We start from the raw sequence: 19061 nt of genomic DNA on the forward strand, positions 1-19061 counted from the left end.
CCAGAGGAGTGGGGGGCTCTGTGACCCAGGAGGGGCACCCTGGAGAGACAAAAGCCTGCACAGAGGAGGTGGCAACAGACAATCCCAGGCTCTGGTCAGAACTCTCCCACCTGCGCACGTAACGTGGGTGCCTTTCATTGTATAATTACACTCACTAAAGTTGACTAAAAACAAGCCGTGGAGAAAACACATAGAGGATCTTTTCTTGTCTAATAGTAGATTAAACAAGCTCCAGGCCACACAAAACATATTTTCTATGCGTTTCATCCAGTTTTCAGAACATGTATGAGACGTTTCTTTTAAACATCATTTTGTTTGTTGAAAATTCTTAAGCTTCCTCAGCGACCCAGAGCTGGAAACCCTCCCACAAACGCATTCTTTGATTTGGGACCTTAGGGGCCCCTCCTCTTTTTCCTTGGAAATGCTTATTCACCTCATCCCCAGCACAGCAGGGCTCAAGATAAACGAGATCATCTTTCCTCAAGTCTCTTGCAACAAGAAAGAGGGGGAGGAAAATCAATATGTGTGATCATCATTCTTCTCCATCCGCCGTAAATAGGCTGAGGAGGGTCATTATTCATCTCCGCTGGCGAAAATCGGATTATAAGTGCTGGGGAAGCTGAAAGCAAATTTCAAGACCAAAATATGTTCCTTCCTCCATGGCTGAACTGCCTGCTGCGGGATTTTTAATTGCATTTGCCCGTTTCGAGATGTACGGCATGATTCCAGGCTTGGATCTTGGGTCTGTAGTTTCTAGGCTGTCATTCTTACCTTTTAATCAGTTATTAAAATGACTATATGGCAGCTTTCCTATATAGAAATCATGGGTTTTTTTTTTTTTTTTTTTTGAGACGGAGTCTCGCTCTGTCTCCCAGGCTGGAGTGCAGTGGCGCGATCTGGGCTCACTGCAAGCTCCGCCTCCCGGGTTCACACCATTCTCCTGCATCAGCCTCCCCAGTAGCTGGGACTACAGGCGCCCGCCACCACTCCAGGCTAATTTTTTTATATTTTTAGTAGAGACGGGGTTTCGCCCTGTTAGCCAGGATGGTCTGGATCTCCTGACCTCCTGATCCGCCTGCCTCGGCCTCCCAAAGTGCTGGGATTACGGGCGTGAGCCACCGTGCCTGGCCCATGGTTATTATAAATGGAGTATTATTATTATTAGAGGAAAGCATGGAATTATATATGGAAAGGCATATTTTCTGGTACCGCTTTGCCACCAGACAAAAAATGCAAAGAGCCCCTGCGGATATGTAAGAAATTGTCCAGCTCCCAGTGCCCTCAACCCAGTGCCCAGGAATGAATTAACCCCACAGCACCCTTGCGAAGAAAGGCAAAGCAAGCAAAGTTTCACTGGGCCTGGACATGAAGTTAAAGAATTAATACTATGTGACGGGTAGGTTGGCAGAAGCACAGAATATACACGTGGACTCTATTTACACCAGCACTGTGGTGGAGTGACCTTTAGTTGCAGCTCAAGTGCCTGAGGCATCCATGGTGACACGGGCAGGTGAACGTAGCATAGACTATACGGCATCCACTGTGCACCCAAGTCTAGGTTAGTGTGTTGGTTTCCGAGAAAAAATAAAAAGATACATGCTACCGTTCGAAAAGTTTGCAGCCTTGGCTGGGAAGACAAGGCACAGCCACATAGAAAGCGTAGGGCTGTGGGCTATTCTTTTTATAAAGGTGATGCTTTGTACCATATTCTCCTTATATTTACTCACTCCTCAACAAGCACACCCTCCCACGCTCACACTCCTCCTTCCACTTGAGCTACTTAAACTAGACATAATGTATGGTGTCTTCATCATGATCTATATTTAAATTATAGTGACACATTACCAAGATTCAGGGTCTGCATTTCTCTTGCTGTGGTGAGAGAGAATCTTGATGAGGTACAAGGCAGTATTTTGTGTCTTTGCATTCTTACTGTCAAAGCAGAGGGCACGAGTGACCGACAGCACTTTGAAGGTAAAAGCAGACTGCATGTCTTCACATTTCACAGAACTCGGTCCTTTTGTCAACAAGATATTAAACTTTCTCTGGCTTACTTTGAAAACTTCTGCTATGTTTTAAGTGCCTTATTTGGAAATCAACAAATAAAAGTTTCCCTAGCCTTTTTCTCCTATTATTTCCCTCCCCAAATTGTTTTTTTAAAGATAATTAAGCCACAACTGCCTTATGATGCTGGGTTTTCCAGAGAGGAATTCAGTAAGAGATGAATTGCCCTTGAGCTCTATCTGTGGGTCCTTCCTTCCTCCCTCCCTCTCTCCTCCCTCCCTCCTTCCCCACTTCCTCCCTCCTCCCCCACTTCCTCCCTCCCTCCTTCCCCTCTCCCTCCCTCCCTCCTTCCCCCCTCCCTCCCTCCCTCCCTCCCTCCCTCCCTTCCTTCCTTCCTTCCTTCCTTCCTTCCTTCCTTCCTTCCTTCCTTCCTTCCTTCCTTCCTTCCTTCGTTCCTCATGATGCCTACTGTGACTGCGCCCCTTCCTAGTGCCTGGGGAAACAGTGTTGAAAGTGACAGCTTAGGATCCTGGTCTCATGCAGCTTACAGCCTAATGCAGGGATTCAGTCAATAAAACAAGGAAACAGACTATTGTTAGACTGTGATAATGCTGGGATGGAAGGGTAAAAAGAAGCCAATCTGATGGAGACAGACTAGAATGGGGGTGGTTGGGCTATCTTATTAGGGTGAACAGAGAAGGCTTTTCCTAGGAGGTGACATAAGGGATCCTTCTTCTAAAGGAAAAGGATAAAAAAAGAACCCAGCCATATGCAGAGGGTTCAGGCAGAAGCAGCAGCAAGTTCAAAGGTCCTAAGATGGGATGGGCATGGACTGATTCAAAAATGAAAGACAGGCTTCAATAGTGTCAATAGCTTGACCGTAATGATTACTTACTACCTGGCCAATTATCAAAAAGCTATTTATTGATAATATTGAGAAAAACCAAAGCATATGCTCAGATAATAGGGATATATCGGTTTGCTTATATTTCTTCTCTAACAAGCCTTATCGTTATTTTCATAGGAATATAGAAATAATATTCTAAACTACCGATGGCTTAATATACTTTGCTGAAACAGCTTAGACCCTTGTTTCAAATCATTTTCCTTCCAAAAACAACCTACACACAAACTATTTGCTTTGTTAGTCAGAACAGAACAGAACTGGAATTAGTCACTCATGATAGGTATGAGTCACTTATAAGCCTGTTTTTCTTTTTCCTATTTGTATCTGCAATAATCAGATGAAAATCAACCCCAGCATTATCCAAGAAATTCTATAAATTAAGGCGATATTAATACCCTTGTTCTTTCCCTAGTGATGGTGGTTCTCACCTTTTTTACTGTTCATGCATATTTTCATTCTTTCAAAAGCTGATTTCATTTCTTCCAGTCAAATGCCTCTATTTTTCCACCAAGCTGCTAATATGTTTGCCTTTTAAACCAAGCTAAGCCTGGTTTTTATCTGGACAATTGAATTGTATAACATGTGTCTTGCAACAAAACAAGCTCTGCCAGAAAAGGCAGCTGCAGAAACTCAGGCAAAGATGTACCTAGTACTAGCATTTGCTGAGTACAGCGAGAACAAAGGAGAATGAAATGCTGGCGTGCTAATTTATAAGAAAAATTAAATCCGCACACGATATGTTAATGGCTTTAAAACAGGCTTCCCGACAGGCGCGGTGGCTCAAGCCTGTAATCCCAGAACTTTGGGAGGCGGAGGTGGGCGGATCACTTGAAGTCAGGAGTTTGAGACCAGCCAACGTGGCGAAACCCTGTCTCTATTAAAAATACAAAAAAAAAAAAAAAAAGAAAAAGAAAAAATTAGCTAGGTATGGTGGTGCGCATCTTTAGTCCCAGCTACTCGGGAGGCTGAGGCACAAGAATCACTTGAACCTGAAAGGCAGAGGTTGCAATGAGCCGAGACAGTGCCACTGTGCTCCAGCCTGGGTGACAGAGGCCGACTCCATCTCAAAAATAAAATAAAATAAAATGAATAAAATAAAATAAAACAGGCTTCCATCATTGGAGAATTTGAATGCTTACTGCATAGTTGATGTAGTATTATTATTACTATATCTGTAAAGTAATATTTTGGTTTCTAAAAAATACTTTTTAAGAGAGATACCCATTAAATATCTGTGGGTCATACGGACAACCACAAACAAATTAGAAAGGATTTTCCAATCTTGCAAAAATCTTCAGGCCAAATTTTGTTTCCAAGAATTTATTTTCCCTTCAGATAAGAACAGTGACCTGACGATTATATTTGGTGCCCAATTTATTGGTGTCACAACTATACAGGAAGTGTGTGTAGTCTTTAAACCTTTTAATGTCTCTTCCTCAGGAGTGTGCCAACATTTCGTTTTCAGCGTTGCTTTTGAATGTGCAGCCGGGAACCCCTTCATGGCTAGTTCAAACCCCCATGCATAAGAGAGATTTTTGAAGGAATTTTTGGCCCTAGTGAGGCATTCTTAATGAAAAATTTTCTGCATGTACTAATTAAATCTATGTAATTACAAGGTATTGTGTCATGTTAAAACTTTAACTAGCACCGAATATGTAATTTACACGCACTTATGATAGAGCAGCTCATTATAGGTCCAATTTTCATCCCCGTCATTAGCCAGGCTCATTTGTTTCTCTGATAAAAGAGAACTCTGTCTTTGAGTCAGAGGCAGCCTTATCAAAAGAAAGATGCTTGAGGGAGTAGACCAAGGAAGAGAACTGGGCTTGGAATAGTCCTGATGACAAGGTCCAGACACACAATTATACCACAAGGGGGTTTTTACACCACGTACAAAGAGAGGGAGGAAGCTAAGACCATGAGGGTAAAATCTGCATTGGATTCATTGTTTGGATGGCAGCCATCCTTATAATAAATAAATTAAAGTTTCCCCAACCAAAACCAAAACAACAAAATGTGAAAATGTAAGGAATAGGCAATCATGTTTCATATCCTTTACAGAAATATGGTGTGAGGAGAGTCCTGTCCAAGAAATAACTTACAGGCACTTGGAATCACCAGGTTTTTTGCTCTGTTGTGCCAAATTCAATTCATATATCCCTCATGTGGCTCATTTTTACCAACAAAATTACCTCTGGTCTCTATTTTGTCTTAAGCAGCATCTCCCAAAGGACAGGGGGAGCTTTTCTTTGTCTCTCCACGTTTTCCTGCTGGACCATGAAATAGAAGCTTCCAGCCCTCAGGAATGTTAGGACACCCCGCACCACAGACGTGCACAGATACTTGTACATCCTTGTGGAAGGGCAAAGGGTGTGTCCCATTAGGGAGATGGCAGGATGCTGATATCCTTTTGGTCACCTCTCTATTGAGTGCAGTTAATATGTGAAATGCCTTTGGGAGGCTGAGGCGGGCGGATCACCTCAGGAGTTCAAGACCAGCCTGACTAACATGGTGAAACCCCATCTCTACTAAAAATAAAAAAATTAGCCAGGTGTAGTGGTGGGTGCCTGTAATCCCAGCTACTCAGGAGGCTGAGGCAGGAGAATCGCTTGAACCCAGGAGGCGGAGGTTGCAATGAACCGAGATTGCGCCATTGCACTCCAGTCTGGGCGACAGAGAGAGACTACGTCTCCAAAAAAACAAAAAAGAAAAAAAAAATTAAAATTAGCTGGGCGTGGTGGCAGGCGCCTGTAATCCCAGCTACTCCAGAGGCTGAGGCAGGGAGAATCGCTTGACCCCGGGAGGCAGAGGTTGCAATGAGCTGAGATAGCACCATTGCACTCCAGACTGGGCCACAGAAAGAGACTCTGTCTCAAAAAAAAAAAAAAAAAAAAAATATATATATATATATATATATGAACTGGTTTGTCAGAGGAAAACTCACCATTGAGTCTCCTGAGCTCTCTGTGCCTGGCTGGGAGCAGGCAGCCTTTGTCCTCCGCATGCATGAGTCCACGGGTCTAGACTTGCAGTACGAAGTCCAGTCATCCCTCGGTATATGCAGAGGGATTGATTCCAGGACCCCCATGTAACCCAAAATCCGTGCATACTCGAGGCCCGCAGTTGGCCCTGCAGAACATGCATATGTGAAAAATCAGCCCTCCATGTACATGGATTTCAGATCCCACAAATACTGTGTTTTCTATCCATGCTTGGCTGAAAAAAAATCTGCACATAAGTAGACTTTAGCAGTTCCAACCCATATTGTTCAAGGGTCAACTGTATTAAGAAACCAATTTTATCTCTGATACAACCAACCTAGCATTAGCAGCTATGAAGTTAATATTTTTGATAAGTATTTAACCTTATTTTTTAAAAACATTCAATTGGTTTCAAACACGGAGGGCAGTCCAGTGAGGTTAGTCATCGCTTTCCAATAAACATTAGTATCATAACAAAGATTGACAAGAGGATTTAAAAAGCATCATCAAACCATGTACCCTCATTGAGGTATTGCGTCTTGCTGGAGTGCAATGACCCTGACTTGGTCATCTTTTTATTCAAATCACAAGTAAAGGACTCAAAGTAATTTTGCTTAAACAAGAGATAATTTTATTTTTCTACCATGTCAAAGTCCAAAGGTGAGAAGCCTAGGGCTGAAGTCCTCAGGAATCCAGGTCCTTTTCAGCTTGTACTCAGCTGTGTGGGGCCCTCATTTCCAAGGCTTCCTCACAGGTGGTGGTACCAGCTCCATCAATCATCTTGAAGCACAGAATACAAGAAGGAGGAAGAGACAAGGCACACACATGGGTCAGTGACATGTGCTGCTTTGACCTGGAAGCTGCCATGTGACTCTTCTGCTTATATTCCACTGTCTGAAACCTGGTCACCAGGAAAAATGTAGTTGTAATGGAGGTTGGATAATATGCTTTTTAATGTTACTATAGTTAATACATAGTTATCAAGTAAAAATCGGAAGTTCCATTACTGAAGAGGAACGAATGTCAGGGCTAACTAACAATCTCTCCCAGAGGAAGTGTGGTTGTCTGTGAAGGATGAAGCCTAGCACATGTTTCCAGGCCTGGGTAAGAGGATAAGAAAGCATCATCTCACCTGGAGCAGTACTGGTGCATGATGGGAAACTCCTGCCATCACCGAGACCATGGCTGAGGTACCATGTGCTGGGATAGAGGGTGGAAAGGACACGTAAATGGGAGCAAGCGTCTTGGAGGATCAGTGGCAGGGCATGTATCTGCCCTCAGCCTGATTTCCTGCCTCTGAAAATGTGGAGATGGTAGATAAACATGGGATTAGAATATTTGCACTGCCTAATCACATGCAGAAGGGCAGGCTTTTTATTTTCCTGCCATAATACTACTCCCTTCTTCATGAGCCTACTGGGAGAATTACTAAACTCATTAACTGCTGAGTGCACTGCCTGGCACAGAGGGAGTCCTTGGGAACAAGAGTCAGTTTTTAAAAAGAAATTAGATAGACTCTTTTACTTCTACATTAAACATCGCCTTGGGAAAATGATGGGAGGCCATGTCTTCTTGATCTAAGAGACTGCCTGAGGGCTCATGAGGGATTAGGGGCTACATTCAGAGAAGTTGTTCAAGTCTATTGTGTTAAACTCTTCTTCCCGGCATGCTGCACACCTTCCCACATGCTGGGCTACCAGGTGTCTCCCTCTGCGCCTGACGTACACAAGCTTGGTTGATATTCTGTGGTGAATTCATTACATCACCTCATGCCACACTGTCTAGAATAGAAACCATGAAAGAGGAGCTCCTTTGTTTCCAGTGTGATACTCTCAGAGACCACTTTCATGTGAAGTGAATCATGGGATTCCTATGACCAGGGAGAATTTGTTTTCCTCTCACCATCTAGTCAAAGGTATGGGCTCCACTTCCTAGTGTTTATTTTTCCACATGGTCATTTTTAAGAAAAATGTTGACCAAATTCCATCATTGGATCACAAAACCTGTTCAAGTGGAAGAGCTTCAAAAAACCACAGTTCTCTATGCAGAAAAATGAAATTATATTAGCAAAATACATCCAAGTTAGTGTTCTCTGTTAAGGTGGAAACCAATAAACACTGAATTCTGATATGGACGACATTTAAGAAATAATACACAGTCATGTGTCACTTAATGATGGGGATAATGTCTGAGAAATGCATCATTAGGCTATTTTGTCATTGTGCGAACATCACTGAGTGTACTCACACACTCTATGCTAGCTGGCATAGCCTGCTACACACCTAGGCTAGAGGACAGCCCATTGCTTCTAGCCTACAAACCTGGATAGCATGTTACTATCCTGAATATTGCAGGCAATTGTAACATAAGGGTATTTATGTATCTAAGCATATCTGAACATAGAGAAAGTACAATAGAAACAGTATGATCATCCTGTGGGACCACCATTATATATGTGGTTTGTCATTTACCAAAATGTAGCTATACAGTGCATGACTGTGTAAAAAAAATTACATCTATTAACTTGAAGTTTCGTTTTTTCCTGTGCTGTGAGCTATCTTTTCCCTTATATGTTTAAACATATAATAGCACCTATTTCAAAGTGTAGTGTTGTAAGGAAGAAATGAAATAATTTTAAAACATTGCTTATTACAGTACCTGCACACAAGTTGTTCCATCCTTGACATATATTGTTTGGGGAAACTGCATTGTAATGAGGTTTCTCAAGTGCTGGTCTAACAGCGAGGGTAGGTCTATATGAAAGATTTCATGCATGCTGTTCGGAGAGTTTTCACCACCCCATGGAGGGCAGTGTTGCAGGCCTCTTGTTGCATGGCCCAGGGAGTGGACCATCCCCTAACTGGACAGCTGGCTGGCTGGAAGCAGCTTCAACACTTCTGGCACAGTAAGAAGCAGAAGAAGCAGCTGCTGAATCCCAGCACGTCTTTCCCAATGTCAGACCAGGTGAAGACCACAGCCAGCTGGGACTCACACCCACCAAAGGCTTGTGATCACCTGCTGTTCAAATGGAAAGATAGGGCCAGTGTTTCCAAAACATCCAATGTTTTAATAAAATGCAGAAAGATGGATACTGTGTTACATCACCGGAATTCTACATGGCAGAAAATGATGAAAGGAATGTGTTTAATATGATGCATGTCCAACAGCACATGCTTCCAGACTGCATTTGCCTGAATGAATGTGGGTTAGTAACATGGGGTCTGGAGAGAAAAGAGGGCTGCATTTTTTTCTCTCCTTTTACATTAAAAGGCTTTTCTCTTTTATCTTAAACAGAATATTTCAAAATCAGTGAAATCATATTGAGTTAAAGTTTCTGTTCTTGTCCACAAAGATGCAAGTGAAATTTTGAAAATGATTAAAATAAAGCACATTTCAGAACAAGTCTGAGAGGGTGTGCTGTAGGGATTGGGAGCAAAGATTTGCAGTGGTAAAATCCTCAGCTATCCTGTGGCTTCCACTGGAACTTCCAGTTATATAACTAGCTTGCTTATGTCTTATTTATTTGTCTGTAAAAAGATAATATACTATCCAATTCTATTTATAAATCATTCTTTAAAAGACAAAATGATAGAGAGGGAGAATGGATTAGTGGTTGCCAGGGCTGGGAGTAGCAGTGTCAGGAGGGATGTGTGTTCATAAAGGGGCAGCCCAAGGGATTCTTGTGATGATGGAACTGATCTGTGTCGGGACTGTGGCAGTGGAGAGACAAACCACACATGTAATGATGTTACATAGAACTAAATGCACACACATAGACATACAGCTATAAACATGGGAACTCCGAATAAGATCAGATCATTTCTGTGTCAATTTCCTGGTGATGATTGTTCACTGTAGTTTTGCAAGCTGTTACCGCTGGGACAACCTGAGTTAAGAGTGGGTAAAATCCTTCCATACTGTTACTTATCACTGAATGTGAATCTACAATTATGTCATAGTACAAATTTGACTTTAAAAAGATGATGATACTCATACCTACCCAGTAGAGCTCTTATGAGGATGGATGGACATGCTAATGTTGCGAGAATCAGGAGACTGGAGAGACCAATGGGTGAGACAGGAGGATTTTTATTTAGGTGCACTGGCTCAGCAGATTCACATCCAAAAAGCTGAGCCCTGGACAGGGCTTTGACTTTTATACATGATCTGTGGTGCCAAACGCAGTGGCGTGAAAGCAGGTAGAACAAAGACAGTTTATCAGTGACAGGTTTTACAACTCAGGCATGTCTTGTGACCTTCGCCATACTGCACAGCTGGAAACAGGAACTTACAAAATCCTTGCAAATTTGCAGAAATAGTTACAAAAGTAGTTGTGAGAGCAGATCACGGGATAATGGTATAGGGAAAGAATTTCAAAGGGGGCAACTCATAAGAAGAACTTGCTTTTCTTATCCTTGTTCTAGGGGGCAGGTGTGTTGGGAGAGTCTCTGGAGCTCATTCCTTTGGGCTCTGGCTTTTCAGATAGTGCTATCAAGGCCCGCTAGGGCCCTGCCTATTGCTGGCCTTGGAGTGAGTCGGCCAAGTATAGGAAAACCTGTTTTTCTGTTTACTTATTTTTCTTATATTTCCTGCTTCACTAATTACATTTGTTTTACCTGGTGAGACAAGCCTGGTGTGTCCTGCAGAAGAACTGCTTCTCCTGCTGTTCGATTGCAGCTGTCCCAACCTTAGCAGAGCTTAAGAAATACCTTTATATAAGAAACCACTTTTTCTGGCTGAGTGCACTGGCTTATGCAAGCCTGTAATTCCAGCACTTTGGGAGGCTGAGGTGGAGGCAGGTGGATCACCTGAGGTCAGGAGTTTGAGACCAGCCTGGCCAACATGGTGAAACCCTGTCTATACTAAAAAAAATACAAAAATTAGTCAGGCGTGGTGGCATGTGCCCAGTAGTTCCAGCTACCTGGGAGGCTGAGGCAGGGGAATCACTTGAACCTGGGAGGCGGAGGTTGCAAGTGAGCCAAGGTTGTGCCACTGCACTCCAGTCTGGGTGACAAAGCGAGACTCAATGTAAAAAAAAAAAAAAAAAAAAAAAATTAAAAAAAAGAGTCAAACAAACAACAACAACAAAACAAACAAAGAAACTGGCTTTTTGGTTTTTTGAGACAGAGTTTCACTCTGTCATCCAGGCTGGAATGCAGTGGTGTGATCACTGCTTATTGTAGCCTCAACCTCCCAGGCTCAAATGACCCTCCCACCTCAGCTTCCCAAGTAGCTGGGACTACAGGCATGTGCCACTATGCCCAAATAATTTGTTTTCTTTTTTTGAGAGAGACAGTCTCACTGTTTTTCTCAGGCTGGTCTCAAAATCCTGGGCTCAAATCATCCCCCCGCCTCAGCCTCTAAAATTGATGGGATCACAGGTGTGAGCCACCACGCCCAGCTAAAAAACTGCCTTTTGCGCAAAGCTCCTCGTGGTAGTTAAAAAGATTAATCGATTACCTAGAAATTGAAGCTTTAGAGAAAATTGGAACACAAGTCCAAGTGGCCCTGGTTGAGGGCTCCTGGAATGCATGTTGCTTGGGTACTCCCTGGAAAAAACATTTGTGTTAGATAATTTGGGAATATCAAGTTATTTGTAAGTTAAAACTTCATAGCCTTTAATCAGTTAGTTAGAGATGATTAACATCTTGCTCATATGAGGAATTATATAGCAACAGAAATACTTAGGGTTTCCCTGACCCTGTGATTTCTCTCTCTTCTCTCTGGCCATCTTGCTGAGAAAAGACGTTGGCCAGCCTGCAACAAGACTGGGCTGGCAGGAATTAGAGCAGGATTGACCTTCTTTTTTCCTAAAAGAAAAGGGAAAATGCTCATGCCATTGTCCATTGTGTGCATAAACACACACACACACACACACACACACAGATTAGGTTAGTGCAAAAGTAATTGTGGTTTTTGCAATTAAAAGTAATTGCAATTATTTTGATTGCAAAAACTGACTCTCTCTCTCTCTATATATATACATATATATATATATATTCCAAGTCATATAAAACATAGAGATATATCTTATTTAAAAGATTTTATTTTGGAAGAAAGAATTGAAATTTGGGGCTTCAACACAAACTGGGTGGTCTCTGGTATCTCTGAGGAACAAAGAGACGGTTGGAGGTCTTATAAAAGGAAAACCTTTATGTATTGTATTGAAGGAAAGTTCATTGACACTGTAAAGTTTTGGAAAGCTGGCAGTCTCTGACTGGTAGGTGATGGTCTAGGGTAAAACTAGTCTTAAGAGTCGCAGCAGTTTGTTTCAGTAGCTGTTAGATAAAACTGGTTTCAAGTTACAACCGGCAGTCTCGGCCGCTGGACTTGTGGAAAATTTAACTGCTGGCCCGGATGCTATGAACCCAGAACGCTTTTCCCCCTGCCTACTACAATGATTGAGTTGAGTATGACAATGAGGCAATTTGTACAATCATCTTTCTGTATATGTATACTCATTTTTATTTTAAAATATACCTGATTTATTTTGAAACATTAGTTTTCTTAAAACCCATTATTTTTGTGATTATGGACTACCAGTTTTTTTTTTGTTTTGTTTTTTTTTTTTTTTTTTTTTGGAGACAGAGTCTCCCTCTGTCTCCCAGGCTAGAGTGCGGTGGCATGATCTTGGCTTACTGCAACCCCCACCACCTGGGTTCAAGCAATTCTCTGCCTCAGTCTCCCTAGTAGCTGGGATTACAGGTGTCTGCTCCCACGCCTGGCTATTTTTTTTTGTATTTTTAGTAGAGACGAGGTTTCACCATCCTGGCCAGGAAGGTCTTGAACTCCTGACCTCGTGATCCACCTGCCTCGGCCTCCCAAAGTGCTGAGATTACAGGCGTGAGCCACTGTGCCTAGCCGGACTACCAGTTCTTAACTGAGAAAAGATTCTCTTCTAGATTTTTTCCCCTGATTTTCCAGGGAAATATCATGAATTATTGTGCTATTGACCATGAGCTCAATGTTAATGAAACCATTTGTATTAAATAAGAAACACACAAAACAAGGTTATGTATTGATTTGTTGACAAAAACATAATACAACATTCACAGGAATTTAGCTCCATATTTACCTTAGAAGCAGTATTCAGTATTTGCTAATTGCTCAGTGTTGCAGGTGATTTCATAGAATATAACTACCTTGAATCGTGAGAATCAACTGTACTTCACAACCCATTCATTCACATTGCTTGAGTTCCATTTTCCAACTCTCCTGTTAGTAATTTATATGCATGCCTTTGAATACACCGTTCCTTCTGTCTAGGTTCCTTGTCCCCTGTCTTCTTTGAGTAAGTGATTATCTTCATTACTTTGCAGGAGATTCTACTGATGTATGATTCAGCATCTCTCCCTACCCCCATCTTCTGCTGTTGGCCTCTTGATTGCTCTGGGGGAACATTCCTACTCCTATGTGATAGAATTAGCAGGGAGTGGCTGTCCATCGTGACTCTCAACCTTCCCATAGTCAAGGTAGAGCTGGAGGGCGTAGGGGAGAGAGTCTGAACCAACCTGGGCCAATCAGGAACATGAATCTTGAGTTTCCAGAAAAACAGGGTGGAGGAGGGGTGGGTATTGACTAAGTTTTTCCTGTGTGTCATATCCCTGGAACTGTTGTTTCGGTTTCTGTTTTTTCCAAGGCTTACTTTTTCTATTTAATTCTGATACCAGTGACAAACCTCACATCCTTCGTTAAGTATGTCCCCACATTTTGATGACCCAAATCAGTTTTTGTTGTTTTCTACCAAAGACTCAGCACAGCTTTCTCCTTCAGGGCATTTTCCTATCACCCTGCCTGCTTTGCACTGTCTGCTCTCTCTGCCCTCTTTAACCCCTGTTCTACCCGGACTCTTGCTCCTCACAGAAACACATGGCACTTTGCTGCTCACTCTTGTTTACCAATCTGTCTAACCGACCCATGCTGCTGGAAGAGGCAGTGGAAACCCTGGCAATCTAAATTGGTTTCTCAGTCAGCAAGTTAGGAGGAGCTGAGAGGATGAATGTGAGTCTATCTTAGACTAATTCACCTCATGTTCTTCATTTTGTCCCAAACAGGGCATCGAGGCACGAGCAGATAAAGGACCAGAAAGAAACACAGACACACCGAAAATTGGAGAATGAGTTTAGAGCCATTAATGATTTTTTAATCTCTCTGTGCAGTGCATAAAAATGTCACATGAAAGTATGCCTAGCATGGCATCCTGGTCAAGATAAAACAGTCAGCCTCTTGGCACAGTGAGGGCTGGGAAAGAAGCATATTAAAATGCCACCAATAGGAAAGATGGGCTTTTCCTCTCCTGCACACAGTGTTTGTGTTTTCATAAATGTCACAGGAAATGCTACATTTACTCTCCATTTGAGTCTACATTTTTTTAATAAGCACTATTTTTTAAAAAACAGTTTTAGGTTTACAGAAAAATTGCGCATAAAGTATAGAATTCTCATGGATCCTCTTCCAACCCCAACCCCACATACAGTTCCTTCTCTTACTAACATTTTGCATTAGAATGGCACATTTATTACAATTGATGAGCCAATAGTGATACATTATTACCAACTAAATTTTCTAGTTTATGTTAGGGATCACTGTCTGTATTGTGCATTTATACCACTCAGATATATATATGCATAGATATGCTAACTCCAGATACCCAGTTAATATATTCAGACTCTCTCTTGCATTATGTTTATTATTTTATTTTATTTTATTGTTTATTTTATTTGAGTCAGGGTCTTACTCTGTCACCTAACCCGGAGTGCAGTGGCATGATTGTGCCACTGCCCTCCAGCCTGGGCAACAGAGCAAGACTGTCTCAAAAAACAAAAACCAAACAAAAACAAAATATCTAGAAGAAACCTAAACCAACAGAGGGTGTGAGCATATCTATCGGCAGAAGCCATGTGCTTGAATTCCTTAAGGAAAAGCTGACACGGACTATCCAAGTGTTTAGAGTCTTGGATTTGCATTTACTCTAGAAGGATAGAATTCGACAGATGCATACTGTCCCATATCCACCATTATAGTATCCTAGAAAAATGCTTTCATTGCCCTAAAAATGCCCCGTGCTCCAACCATCCATTCCCCCATCCCCTGCCCTTGGCAATCTCAGATCCTTTTATTGTCTCTATAGCTTGTTTTCCATTACGCCATATAGTGGAAATGTTTTAGTATGTGGCCTTTTCAGATTGGCTTCTTTCCCTTAGCAAGCTGTATTAAGGTTTCTCTATGTCTTTTCATAGCTTGGCAGCTCATTAAAAAATATTATTATATTCTATGTGTATTTTTTAAATGAAAGTCTGAGTTTTTGCACCTATTTGTTGGACATAACTCCTTCATGACTCTCATTTATGTTACAGTGATTACTAGCATCAAATAAATGAGTCGAAGCAACATTTTTAGATGAGGTAGAGCAGACTGTGACAGGACAATGCAAAATGCAACAGAACAGAAAAGAGAAGAAAGTATTTAAGTTCATTGCACTTAACAAAAAAGCATAGATTTGTAAAATTGTGTTTCCATTATCTGCGTATGTGTGTGTGTGCATAGACACTGGGAGTTATATTTTTACTGTGTATTTTTTTACACACCCCATACAAATATGGGCTGTGATTAAAAAAAAAACATCTATTCCTCTAGCCCATACCTTGAAATACCTAGTTCACACTGAAATCAGAGGAAAGCCATTTATTTTTGGTGTTGATTCAGAAAGGGCACAGCTTTTTAGTGATCATCATGAAAATGATAATTAAACAACAACAGTGTTATATTTTATGCAGTAAACATTTATAGTGAAATACATTTTATCATACATTTATTTAGAAATTAAAATTATGTTTTCTGGGCCATGTTTGAAGTATTTTACATATTTTATTTTTACATAGTAATAACTCTGTAAGGTAGGTATGTATATTTTTTAATTTTGCCGATGAGACACCTGAAACACAGAGTGGAAAATATCTTTCCCCAAATCCAACAGCTAGCATGTTGGCCAGGATTCAAATGCAGGGAGAGCATCTGTCCTCTTTAAAACAATCCAGTCCCTGTCCCTGAGTAAGTTTCATTACTTCTAAAGAATAAATGTGAAGTAACTTTTAGGAAAAGGAATTATTAATTTTACTAGAATAAGATCATCTGATTCCAAAATTCTGTAGTTTTCAAGATAATAGACTTTATCTCATAGAGGAGAGATAGAGAACAGTTTTCACACTGAATAAAGCTCTGTTTACCGTCAATAATGTAAAGGCAATCTCTGAGATGCAGATTGAGTGGGAAAAAAGGGCTGTGAGTGATTAACAATGACAGGCACAGGCATAAAATAAGAATGTGGACATACCTATATTATGTATGTGCATCCATTTCTTCATTACATCACCCATTCCTTCAACAAATTTGCATTGAAGGCCCACTTTGTGGCTGGCGGTTTTCTGAGCATGGGTTATACCATTGGTCAAAAGGCATGAAGTTGCTGTACTCGTGGAGCTTATAGTCAAATGAAGAAAGAAAGACAGTGAAATAAATAATGCCAATACAGATGTATTGATGGATGGTCTGGAGGGAAATGAAGCAGGGTGAAAACAGCGATGACACTATACTGGGGGCTGTCATTTTCTCTAGGGTATTATCAAAGACCTCTGTCATGAAGAGAAAAATATCTAGAAGTGGCCGGGCCTAGTGGCTCACACCTGTAATCCCAGCACTTTGGGAGACCGAGGCAGGTGGATCACCTGAGGTCAGGAGTTCAAAATCAGCCTGGCCTACATGGTGAAACACCATCTCTACTAAAAATACAAAAATTAGCCAGGCTTGGTGGCACATGCCTGTCATCCCAGCTACCCGGGAGACTGAGGCAGGAGAATAGCTGGAACCCGGGAGGTGGAGGCTGCAGTGAGCCAAGATGGTGCCACTGCACTCCAGCCTGGGTGACAGACCAAGACTGTCTCAAAAAAGAAAAACAACACAACAGAAAATATGTAGAAGAAATCTAAACCAACAGTGGATGTGAGCGCATCTATCGGCAGAGGCCATGTGCTTGAATTCCTTAAGGAAATGCTGAGACGGACTATCCAAGTGTTTAGCATCTTGGATTTGCATTTAGCCTAGAAGGATAGATTACAAGCAAACTAACTCAGGGGAGTAGACTAGCAGTGGAGACGGACAGCATCTTTTTTCCTACTTTGTGCATTTCAGTGTTCATTAATCCTTTTACAATACTTACATCAATATTGTACAATACAGACATTACTTATCAATCAGTATCTACTGCCTCAATTCATAAGAAGAATTGTGTAACACTTCGTAGTTACTCCTAGGTCTGGAGAGAGTGTGGGCTGGACCCTCAACTGCTGGACTAGTTTCTCTGTGGCCACCAGACAAGACTTCTGTATGATTCTTTCTCTAAGAAAGAAAGGAAGCAATCAATTCTCTAAGAGGCCATGCAGTGTCTCCATCACTTGTTCTTGCTGTAGTAAGACCGTAGTAACCAGGTGATGTCCACCTGCCAATGGGTAATTGCACAGAGTCAAGGTCAAGAAGAAACATGGGGCAAACAGCAGATGAGCCCAGTGCAGACTACACTGGGCAAGCAGAGCTATGTTGACGTCGGGTATTTTTCTTATTATATTGAAAGAAGGTGAAGCAAGAGGCTTCTCAAGTGAAGCAGACATTTCTGACTTTCTGACTGCAAAGTGGATTCTCGGGGTGAAGGCTTGGAAGATACTGCTCTCTTCTTATTCATTCAAAATGGGCACAAAAGTGAAAGAGCTGCCTTCAGTACACCACAACCAACCACACTCTCAATAAACAGGGATATTTCAAAGCACAGTAGCTCTGGCAGTGAGAAAATGCAGGCAGATCTGGAGAGTTTAATCATCTGGTAACAGAACACTTATGTCATTTCTATTTGGGGAAACTTTATATTAAATCTATAAGTTTAGAATTTTCCGCTTTCTATTTTGTTTCCTTCTACTTGACTTAATGTTCTTGGGAAAGCACTTTAAAAAAAAAGTATGCTGATCTTCTGCCAGTGAAAAGGAGAACTGTGGTCATTTTTAGGAAGAAATTATTCTACTTTCAAAATTCCAAAGTAAGGTAATTGAAAAATTATCTATCTGAGAAGGCAGCATGAAAAAGTTACATTTTCTCCAAAGAAGATATGTTTGTCTTGCTTTTTTTCTGCATTGTAACAACCATGATAAGGTATCATTTTAGAAATCATTGAAACTCGAACTAATGGAAAGTTCCAGATTAATACACATATTGGAAAGCCTTTAATCATTGGAAAATTATCTCAGAATATATAAAGGCATTTTACATTTCAATCACAGTTTGTATTGTTTTAACAAATTTATTCGCTATGTAAAGAAGTTATGCAAGGTTGGAATTACAATAAATTGACAGTCTTTTGAAAGACACTTAACAAAATGTATCAACACACTTCAAATTTATCTGTTGAATCTACATTTTCACTTTGGAGCATATATCCCGAGAAAATATTATTGAAGATGTAGGTGCTGGTTATATTTTCCTTTTTAGGAAACATCCTCTTCTTCTGATACTGAGACCCCAAATCTCCTTTGGGGACCCTTCCTCACTCTCAGTCTATGTGTTTAGTAGGGTTGACCCAAGTCCCAGTTCACCTGGGTTCCAGGCCTACGACAATCAACACATTTCCTTTTTTTGTTGTTGTTGAGACGGAGTTTTGGTCTTGTTGCCCAGACTGGAGTGCAACAGCACGATCATGACTCACCGCAACCTCTCCCTCCCGGATTCAAGTGATTCTCCTGCCTAAGCCTCCCGAGTAGCTGGGATTATACAGGCATGCGCCACCATGCCTGGCTAATTTTGTATTTTTAGTAGAGACGGGGTTTCTCCATGTTGGTCAGGCTGGTCTCGAACTCCCAACCTCAGGTGATCCACCCGCCTCGGCCTCCCACAATGCTAGGATTACAGGTGTGAGTCACCGCGTCCGGTGACAATAGCACATTTCATTTCTGCAGTTCCCCTGGTTGGTTCGGGCATAAGAATATAACTGAATATTACTCTGTGTCACTGAAGTCTAAAATCATTTGCAGAGTGTCATGAAAAATACAGGATTTTTCTTGTTTGTTTTGTTTAGTTTTACTGTACATTTTACTGGAGAGATATCAAAGCTAAACAGCTGAGTTCCAACC

At 41.4% G+C, this 19061-nt stretch overlaps 1 annotated feature.

Moving 5' to 3' along the window:
• Positions 293 to 587: a silencer, noted in NCBI's record as "tiled region #7999; HepG2 Repressive non-DNase unmatched - State 24:Quies". NCBI's record gives its function as "represses a minimal TATA promoter and a strong SV40 promoter by Sharpr-MPRA in HepG2 cells {active_cell/tissue: HepG2}" and the evidence as "EXISTENCE:reporter gene assay evidence [ECO:0000049][PMID:27701403]".

The sequence above is a fragment of the Homo sapiens genome, chromosome 12 (genome assembly GCF_000001405.40).
Source record: "Homo sapiens chromosome 12, GRCh38.p14 Primary Assembly".
Lineage (NCBI taxonomy): Eukaryota > Metazoa > Chordata > Mammalia > Primates > Hominidae > Homo > Homo sapiens.